We start from the raw sequence: 10,780 nt of genomic DNA on the forward strand, positions 1-10,780 counted from the left end.
GGAATTACAATTCAACATTAGATTTGGGTGGGGACACACAGCCAACCCGTATTATTCCCAAATCTCATGTCCTTCTCACATTTCAAAACACAATCATGCCTTCCCAGCAGTCCCCCAAAGTCTTAGCTCAATTTCAGCATTAACCCAAAAGTCCAAGTCCAAATCTCATCTGACACAAGGCAAGCCCGTTCTGCCTATGAGCCTGTAAAATAAAAAAACAAATTAGTTATTTCCAAGATACAGTGGGGACACAGGAATTGGGTAAATGCTCCCATTCCAAAAGAGAGAAGTTGGCCAAAACAAAGGGTCTACAGGCCCCATGCAAGTCTGAATCCCAGAAGGTCAGTCATTAAATCTTAAAGCTCCAAAATGATCTCCTTTAACTCCATGGCTCACATTGAGGCCACAGAGACACAGAGGGTGGGAACCCAAGGCCTTAGGAAGCTCTGTCCCTGTGGTTCTGCAGGGTACAGCCCCTGCAGCTGCTTTCATGAGCTGGCATTGAGTGCATGTGGGTTTTCCAGATGCATAAGCTGTCAGTGGTTCTACATTCTGAGATCTGGAGGACAGTGGCCCTCTTCTCACAGTTCCACTAGGCTGTGCCTCAGTGGGGACTCTGTGTGGGGGCTCCAACCCCCATTTCTCCTTTGCATTGCCCTAGTAGAGGTTCTCTCTGAGAGCTCTGTTCCTGCAGCAGCCTTCTGCCTGGACATCCAGGCATTTTCGTACATCCTGTGAAACTTAGGCAGAGGTTCCCGAACCCCAACTTTTGCCTTCTGTGCACCCGCAGGCCCAACACTACGTGGAAGCTGCCAATGCTTGGGGCTTGAACCATCTGAAGCAATGGCTTGAGCTGCACTTTGGCCCCTTTTAGCCACAGCTGGAGGTAGAGCTGCTGGGACCCAGGGCACCATGTCCCAATGCTGCACAGAGCAGCTGGGCACTGGGGCTGGCCCATGAAACCATTTTTCCATCCTAGGCCTCTGGGCTTGTGATGGGAGGGGCTGCTGTGAAGGTCTATGAAATGCCTTGAAGACATTTTCCTCATTGTCTTGGCTATTAACATTTGGCTCCTCTTTACTTATACATATTTCTACAGCCTTGAATTCCTCCCTAGAAAAAAAGTTTTTCTTTTCTACCACATGGTCAGGCTGTAAATTTTCCAAACTTTTATGTTCTGCTTCCCTTTTAAACATAAGTTATCTTTGTTTGTGCAAATGAGCATAGGCTTGTAGAAGCCAAGCCACATCTTGAATGCTTTACTGTTTAGAAATTTCTTCCACCAGATACCCTAAATTATCTCCCTCAAGTTCAAAGTTCCACACGTCTCTAGGGCAGGGGCAAAATGCTACCAGTCTCTTTTGTGCATTGATTTTGTATCCGAAAAACTTTACTGAAGTTGTTTATCTGTTCTAGGAGATTTTCTCTTGAGTCCTTAAGATTTTTCTAGGTATAGAATCATATCATTATCAAAGAGAGTGTATTAGTCTGTTCTTGAATTGCTATAAAGAAATACCTGAGACTGGGTAATTTATAAAGACAAGAGGTTTAATTGGCTCACAGCTCTGCAGTCTGTACAGGAAACATGTTGCTGGTATCTGCTAGGCTTCTGAGGAGGCCTCAGGAAACTTACAATCATGGCAGAAGGGAAAGGGGGAGAAGGCATATTACATGGTTGAAGCATGAGCAGGAGAAAGGGAAGGGAGAGGTGTTACACACTTTTACATTATCAGATCTCATGAGAACTCACTCACTGTCATAAGAACAGCACCAAGAAGATAGTGTTAAAACATTTATGGAAAATCCAGCCCCATGATTCAACCACCTCCTACCAGGCCCCACCTCAAACACTGGGGATTATAATTCAACATGAGATTTGGTGGGGTTCCAGATCCAAACCATATCAGAGAGATAGTTTGACTTCTTTTCTCATTTGGATGCATTTTATTTCTTTTCTTGCCTGATCGCTCTGGCTACAGCTTCCAGTACTATGTTGAACAGGAATGGTGGGAGTGGGCATTCTTGTCTTTTTCTGCTTCTCAAGGGTAATGCTTCTAGCTTTTGTCTGTTCAGTATTACATTGGTTGTTCATTTTTCATAGATGGCTCTTATTATTTTGAGGTATGCTCCTTTGATGCCTAGTCTATTGAGAGTCTTTATTATGAAAGGATGTTGGATTTTTTGAAAAATATTTTCTACATCTATTGAGATGATCAAATGTTTTTTCGCTCTTAATTCTGTTTATGTGGTGAATCACATTTGGTCATTTATATATGTTGAGCCAGCCTTGCATCCCAGGAATAAAGCCTACTCGATTGTGGTGTATTAACTTTTTGACGTACTGCTGAATTTTTTTGCTAGTATTTTGTCAAGGATTTTTGCATCTTTGTTAATGAAGAATATTGGTGTGTATTTTACTTTGGTAATTGTTTCTGCCAGATTTTGCTATCTGGTTGATGTAGAATGAGTTAGCAAGGAGCCTTTCCTCCTCAATTTTTTGGAATTGTTTCAGTAAGGTTGGTACCAGTTATTTGTACATCTGGTAGAATTTGGCTGTGAATCTATCCGGTCTAGGGCTTTTTTAGTTTGGTAAATTAATTTTTAAATTACTGATTCAATTTCAGAACTTGCTATTGATCTTTACAAGTTTCCATTTTCTTCCTGGTTAAATCTGGGTAGTTTGTGTTTCTAGGAATTTACTACTTCTAGATTTTCTAATTTTTGTCTATGAGGTGTCCATAATAAGGCTCTGAGGATCTTTATAATTTTTGTGGATAACTTGTAGTGTTATTTTTGTAATTCTGAGTGTAGTTATTTGAATCTTCTCTCTTTTGTTCTTGGTTAGTCTAGCCAGCAAACAATCTTATTTATTCTTCTGAATAAGAAACTCTTTGTTTCATTTATATAAGGATTTTTGCAACTGAATTTCACTCAATTCTTTTCTAATTTTAGTTATTTATTTTCCTCTGCTAGCTTTGGGATTGGTTTGTTCTTTTTTTCTAGTTCTTCTAGGTACAAAGTTAGATTGTTAGCTTGAGATCTAACTTCTTGATGAAGGTGTCTAGTGCCATAAACTTTCCTCTTAACACTGCTTTAGCTGCAGCCCAAGGATTTTGGTAAGCTGTGCCTCTGTTTTCATTAATTTCAAAGAATTTTGGGATTTCTACCTTAATTTCATTGTGCACCCAAGAGTTATTCAGAAGGAAGTTGTTTAATTTGCATGTATTATGGATTTGTGGAGTTTTGAGAGATCTTCTTGATATTTATTTCTCATTTTATTGTACGGTGGTCCAAGATTGTGCTTGGGATGATTTTGATTTTTAAAAAATTTAATGAGACCTGCTTTATGACTATGTGTTTGATTTTAGAATATGTTCCATCTGCAAATGATATAAATGCATACTCTGTAGTTTTGGATTGGAGACTCCTGTCTGTTAGTTCCCATTGATTAAGTGTCCAGTTTAAGTCCAGAATTTCTTTGTTAGTTTTTCAAGATCAATTGTTTTAAAAATCAAAATAAGCTGGGAAATGTCAGCTTACTTTCCAATTATTAAAGCACAAACTATGCTTTTGGATGTTTTGCCAAACTTCAACTAAAAATTGGCTGACTTAAAAAAATGCAATTTTTCTGGTTGCCAGGTAGTTATTTTTCCATGTGAAATACTGTCTTCAGGGGACATTTTGAATTAACAGAGTTGTTTAAACAAAATAGTCACTAAGCATAGCCAGTAATTACTTGCCACGATTTTATTTCCATTTCTTTTACAATCCTGACTTCCTGTGCAATTTAATCTGGAGTTGCCATCATGTTAACTGTCTCACAATTTATTCAATGGAAGTCTTCAGGGACCCCAATATGATGCCATTATAATGAGAGATTAGAATGCATAAGGATACAAGCCCAAAAAGGATCTATTATGATGCCAATTTGATGTCTCAATGAATATGATGGCAGAACTATTACAACACTGTCTTTGGAGAACCCACATTGAGGGATAGGATTATAAAGAGATGACAGACATATTATAATACATATTTGAGAGTTATGTCAAGTTATGAAAAAGTCAATCATGACTCCTATATTAATTCATGAAACACAGAGATGTCAAGGCCAGCCTCCTTCTAATGGTGTTAGTAAGCATCACTGAAGAATGATATGCTCAACAGAGACTGGTATGTGAGCTGATCAACAGTGCTACCGATGTCAGTTAGTCATTAACATAATGGCTGGTACATCCTTTATAGTGGCGTATCTCTATGCAACACAGATAGCATGTGGAAAGCAATGCCCTTTTCTTCACTGTTAAAGATCAAGAAATCATTTCAACATACAGTTCTTGAGGTAGTTCCCCTGTTTTACTGTTTTCTATAAATTCCTCAACCTATCAGTTCCTTCTATTTTCTAGGTATGGATAATTTACAAGTTAATTTTTAAAAACTGAATATTTTATTTAAATATTTTAAATTAGGCTGAAATGGGGGTATGGAATAATATTGAGGTTCACAATCTGGAGTTAAAATCTTGTATTTTAAAAGGTTCATGAACTTCCTGAAATTGTGTACTGAATTGTATGTAGAAATACAGCTAGACATTTGGAGTGATGGTGCAATTCTCAAAGGGTTTCTGATTCTAAAGGTTTACAGCAATGGTGCATGAGAACTTGTCTATTTTACAAGGTAAGCAATAAAACTCCTGGATATCTAGAGCAATAAGTACTCTCATTAATTATGTGCACATATCTAAAAGGAGGTGAAATTGTAAGATTAATGTGAATGCTAGGGTAGGAGCACATTTAAATAACAACATGCCATTTTTTTATGAACACTATTTCAAGGTTGTTTTTTTTTAAATATGGAGTATGAATTACCTTACAAATACCTCTTGATTTGTGATATGGTTTGGCTGTGTCCCCACCCAAATCTCAATTTGAACTGTATCTACCAGAGTTCCCACATGTGAGAGGGACCCAGAGGGGAGGTAATTGAATCATGGGGTCCAGTCTTTCCCATGTTATTCTTATGATAGTGAATAAGTCTCATGAGATCTGATGGCTTTATCAGGGGTTTTTGCTTTTGCTTCTTCCTCATTTTATCTTGCCACCTCCATGTAAGAAGTGCTTTTCGCCTCCCGCCATGATTATGAGGCCTCTCCAGCCATGTGGAACTGTAAGTCCAATTAAACCTCTTTTTCTTCCCAGTCTCAGGTATGTCATTATCAGCAGCATGAAAATGGACTAATACAGTAAATTAATACCAGTAGAGTGGGGCACTGCTGAAAAGATACCCAAAAATGAGGAAACAACTTTGGAACTGGGTAGCAGGCAGAGTTTGGAACAGTTTGGAGGGCTCAGAAGAAGGCAGGAAAGTTTGGATCCTCCTGGAGGCTTGTTGAATAAATTTGACAAAAATGCTGATAGCGATATGAACAATAAGGCCCAGGCGAGGTGGTCTCAGATGGAGATGAGAAACTTGTTGGGAACTGGAGCAAAGGTGACTCTTGTAATGTTTTAGCAAAGAGATTGGCAGCATTTTGTCCCTGCCCTAGAGATTTGTGGAACTTTGAACTTGACAGAGATGATTTAGGGTATCTGGTCAAAAAATTTCTAAGCAGCAAAGCATTCAAAAGGTGGCTTAGGTGCTGTTAAAGCATTGTTTTAAAAGAGAAATAGAGCATAAAAGTTCAGAAAATTTGCAGCCTGACAATGTAGTGGAAAAGAAAAACCCTTTTTCTAGGGAGGAACTCAAGCTAGCTGAAGAAATTTGCATAAATAGCAAGGAGCCTAATGTTAATCCCCAAGACCATGGGGGAAATGTCTCCAGGCCATGTCAGAGACGTTCACGGCAGCCCCTCTGATCACAGGCCCAGAGGCCCAGGAGTAAAAAGTGGTTTTGTGGGCTGGTCCCAGGTGCTGTGTGCAGCCTAGGGACTTGGTACTCTGTGTCCCAGCTGCTCCAGCTGTGACTGAAAGAGGCCAATGTACAGCTTGGGCTGCAGCTTCAGGGGGTGGATGCTCCAAGCCTTGGCCACTTACACATGGTGTTGAGCCTGCAGGTGCACAGAATTCAAGAATTGAGATTTGGGAAACTCCGCCTAGATTTCAGAAGATGCATGGAAATGACTGGATGCCCAGGCAAATGTTCTCCTCATGGAGAATCTCTGCTAGGGCCGTGTGGAAGGGAAATGTGGGGTCAGAGCCCCCACACAGAGTCTCTACTTGGGCACTGCCTAGCGGAGCTGTGAGAAGAGGGCCACTGTGCTCCAGACCCCAGAATGGTAGACCCACTGGCAGTTTGCACTGTGTTCCTGGAAAAGCCAGAAACGTTCAACACCAGTCTGTGAAAGCAGCTGGGAGGAAGGCTGTACCCTGCAAAGCCACAAGGGTGGAGCTTCCCAAGATCATGGGAACCCACCTTTTGCATCAGTGTGACCTTGATTGTGAGACATGGAGTCAAAGGAGATCATTATGGAACTTTAAAATTTGACTGTCCTGCTGGATTTTGGACTTGCATGGGCCCTGTAACCCCTTTGTTTTTGCCAATTTCTCCCATTTGGAATGGCTGTATTTACCCAATACCTGTACCTCCATTGTATCTAGGAAGTAACTAGCTTTCTTTTGATTTTACAGAGTCATAGGCAGAAGGGACTTGCCTTGTCTCAGATGAAACTTTGGACTGTGGACATTTGGGTTAATGCTGAAATGAATTAAGACTTTGGGGGACTGTTGGGAAGGCATGATTGGTTTTAAAATGTTAGGACATGAGACACTTTCTTGTTATGTCCTCAAAAGGGTTTTCCTTGGTGTGTAAACATGGAGAGAGAGAGAGAGAAATAGACAACTTCCTCTTCTTACAAGGCCACTAATCCCATCATTAGGGTCTTATCCTCAAGACCTTATCTAACCCTAATTATCTCCAAAGGCCCCATCTTCAAATTCCATCACCTTGGGGGATAGCATTTCAATATATGAATTTCAGAGGGGACACAATTCAGTCCAAAACAGAGGCCCAAGTTCATATAGCTAGTAAGGGAGACTTCCATCCTCAGTTATCTCTCTTTCCACTTTAACTCTTTACTTCTATCTCTACAGGGTCTTTGTTTCTAATAAAAATCCTCCTTATTGATGTTTCTCCTAATTTTGTTTGATCCTACTGCTATATTTATATTTGAAGTTGTTGATGCTTTTATTATTCAGTCAGTATCTGCAATAGAACAAATGTTTGTGTCCCTGCACTCCCAAATTCATATGTTGAATTCTATACTCAAGGTGATGGTATTAGGAGGTGCGACTTTTGGGAAGTGATTAGGATATGAGGGTGGAGCCCTCATGATAAAAGATCAGTGCCCTTATAAAAGAGACCCCAGAAAGTTCTCTCCTCCTCTTTCTACCACATGATGACATAGGAAGTTGGCAGTCTGCAACCTAGAAAGGGGCCCTCACCAGAACTCAACCATATGTAGTCCCCTGCTCTTGGGCTTCCAGATTCCAGAAGTGTGAGAAATAAGCTTTTATTGTTTATAAGCCACCCAGTCTATGATGCTTTGCTATAGCTGCCTGAATTAAGACAGTATCCTTTTAACATGTGCCAAACCTTAGGCTACGTTTGTTAAAGTTACCCAAATGAATGAGACACAGTTCTTACCAACAAAGTGGGGGGTGGATGGGGAGGAAGGAAATAAGAAAACTAGAAGAAATTGGGTACAATGTGTAAAGGGTGCATTCCCTCTGATCAAGGAACTCATCGTATTGCAAATGAAGTGCAGCAATTGACTCATGTATATGAGATTCCTGGTCTTATTTCATTTACCACTACCCTGAAGCAGCTGAGCTGATAGAACAAAGGAATGACCCTTTGAAGATTCAATTATGATACCATCTGGATAGTAATACTCTGTGAAGTAAGAATAGCACTCTCCAGTATGTAAATTATGTGCTACATCAGTGACCAATACATGGTCTTGTTTTTCCCATAGCCAAAATTAACTGGTCAAAAAACAAATTACTTCTAGTAATTTACTAGCAAAGATATTACTTATGTTCTTATTTTGGAGTCTATTTGAAATTTGTAGTCTACCAAATGTGCAATAGCATTATGTCTAAAAAATAAATACATATTTTAATTTAAAAATATTTTATTGTGAAAACTGCTAACAATCATCTGAGCCTTCAGTGACTCACAATCTTTTTGCTGATTGAGGGTCTTGCCACCATGTTGATGGCTGCTGACTGATCAGGATGGCTGTTGCTGAAGGTATGGGTAACTGTGTCCATTTTTTTTTTTTTTTTTTTTTTTTGAGACAGAGTCTCGCTCTGTCGCCCAGGCTGGAGTGCAGTGGCACAATCTCGGCTCACTGCAAGCTCCGCCTCCCGGGTTCACGCCATTCTCCTGCCTCAGCCTCCCAAGTAGCTGGGACTACAGGCGCCTGCCACTACGCCCGGCTAATTTTTTGTATTTTTAGTAGAGACAGGGTTTCACCGTTTTAGCCGGGATGGTCTCGATCTCCTGACCTCGTGATCCGCCCGCCTCGGCCTCCCAAAGTGCTGGGATTACAGGCGTGAGCCACCGCGCCCGGCCTGTGTCCATTTTTTAAAGTAAGTCTACAATGAAGTTTGCCACATTGATTGACTTTTTTTCACGAAAGATTTTCTCTGTAGCATGCAATGTTGTTTTACAGTATTTTACACACAGTAGAACTTCTTTCAAAATTGAAGTGAATTCTCTCAAACCTTGCCACTGCTTTATCAACTATGTTCATTTCATAGTCTAAATACTTTGTTGTTGTTTCAACAAACTTCAAAGCATCTTCACCAGGAGTAGATTTCATCTCAAGAAACCAACTTCTTTGCTTACCCATAAGAAGTGACTCATTCAAGTTTTATCATGAGATTGCAGCAATTCAGTCACATCTTTGGGCCCCACTTCCAACTCTAGTTCTCTTGCTCTTTCTACTACATCTGCAGTTACTTTCTCCACTAAAGCCTTGAACCTTTGAAAGTCATCTACTATGGTTGAAATCACCTTTTCTAAACTCCAGTCAATGTTAATATTTTGACATCCTCCCATGAATAACAAATATTCTTAATGGCATTTAGAATGGTGAAGCCTATCCAGAAGTATTTACAAATGACAATGGAATAATGTGCTATTGGTTTTGTGTGTGTGTGTGTGTGTTTTTTTTTTTTTTTTTTTGATGGAGTCTCGCTCTGTCACCAGGTTGGAGTGCAGTGGCACGATCTTGGCTCACTGCAACCTCCGCCTCCCTGGTTCAAGAGATTCTCCTGCCTCAGCCTCCCGAGTAGCTGGGACTACAGGTGTGCACCACCATGCCCAGCTAATTTTTGTATTTTTAGTAGAGATGGGGTTTCACCATGTTGGCCAGGATGCTCTCAATCTCTTGACCTCGTGATCTGCCCTCCTCAGCCTCCCAAAGTGTTGGAATTACAGGCATGAGCCTCCACGCCCAGCCTATTGTTTCCATATGAAAGACAAATATTGTTAACAGAGATGCCTATGGATGCTAAATTGACAAGGGTCAGAATTTGGTGATTTTGTATTGTATAAAGAAAAACCTACAATTTCTAGAATTATATTATGTGTCGGCTCTAAGTTAGAATTGGCCTCTTGGCAAATTTTGGGAGATTTTCAAGGTGGAAATGAAGCAGCAGCCATTATGCTTTAAAGATTTGTGTAGGTATTGTGGTCCAGGAATCATTGCAGTTCATGCACATCGTCACTGAGCTGCTGATTTGTCAGCTTAAAGCAGCAGCCAGGCACATAGGTTCCCCAGCTCCTACAAGTTATCTTTCAGCTTCTCTAAGTTCTGAGCTAGGCATATGTTCAGCTCCATGGCAAAAGTTGCCATCTTTTTCTAGAGGTCACCTACATTGATGGAGACCAAAGCTGTGATAGACAAGCATGGGTTCTAGTTGGTCATCTGGGATTTTGTTTTGTCTCTGTGGGTTACAGTCTACCCTGTCTCTCTTCTGCTTCAGGTCATAGTTTTCTTCTCTAATATTGATCCTGCTGACCCTTAGTGACTTTAGACTTATCACCTGGTGCAGAGGCAACAGCTTTTCAGTCTTCTTCATTGGCTACCACAATTGCATAAGATCCAACACCTATAAGTTTTTATATTTCATGTCACTCAGAGAGGTTCTGGTTCTCTGATAAAATCCTAATTGATATACTCTGCTTGGCTTCTCAGCCTCCTCACAGCCACTTTCTGCTAGGCATCTGTACCTGTGCCATTTATTATTTGGTGACTACCTCAGGAGGAAAACCTGCTTGAACTCTCAAGTTTACTCCTCTGCTCTTCAGTTTTCTTTGGGATCTTTGTTAGTCACTTATAGGCTCCTTTGGTAGCTGTGAACTTCATTTTTTGTTTTTTTCTTTCAGTTTCATGAAACTGACAAAAAGCTCTGCTCAACCTCTCTGACTCTTAGCAACCATTTCTACACAGCTGCTTAGCTTATCAGCCTCTCTGTTTAAGCCACATATGAGTTAGTAAATCCCTTGAGGGAAATGTATATTAAAATGTTTGCCAGATGCAGAGTACGTTTTCTCTTTTCTGTCAAAGCTTGGTTCCTCAAGTCCTGTCTTCTTCAATAGCTCTCTGATACTTTTAACCAGGCGTTTGTGGGTTTATTTGTATTTTTCAGTGTTTCTAGTTGTTCTCTTTCTCCGTTTTTCAAGATTTTGAACAAATAGCATTTCCGCTATCAAACTCTCCTTAACAACTTCCTTTCCAAGACTATAGGCAAACAGCAGTTCCATTGTTTAT

This window comes from Homo sapiens, chromosome X (genome assembly GCF_000001405.40).
Source record: "Homo sapiens chromosome X, GRCh38.p14 Primary Assembly".
Lineage (NCBI taxonomy): Eukaryota > Metazoa > Chordata > Mammalia > Primates > Hominidae > Homo > Homo sapiens.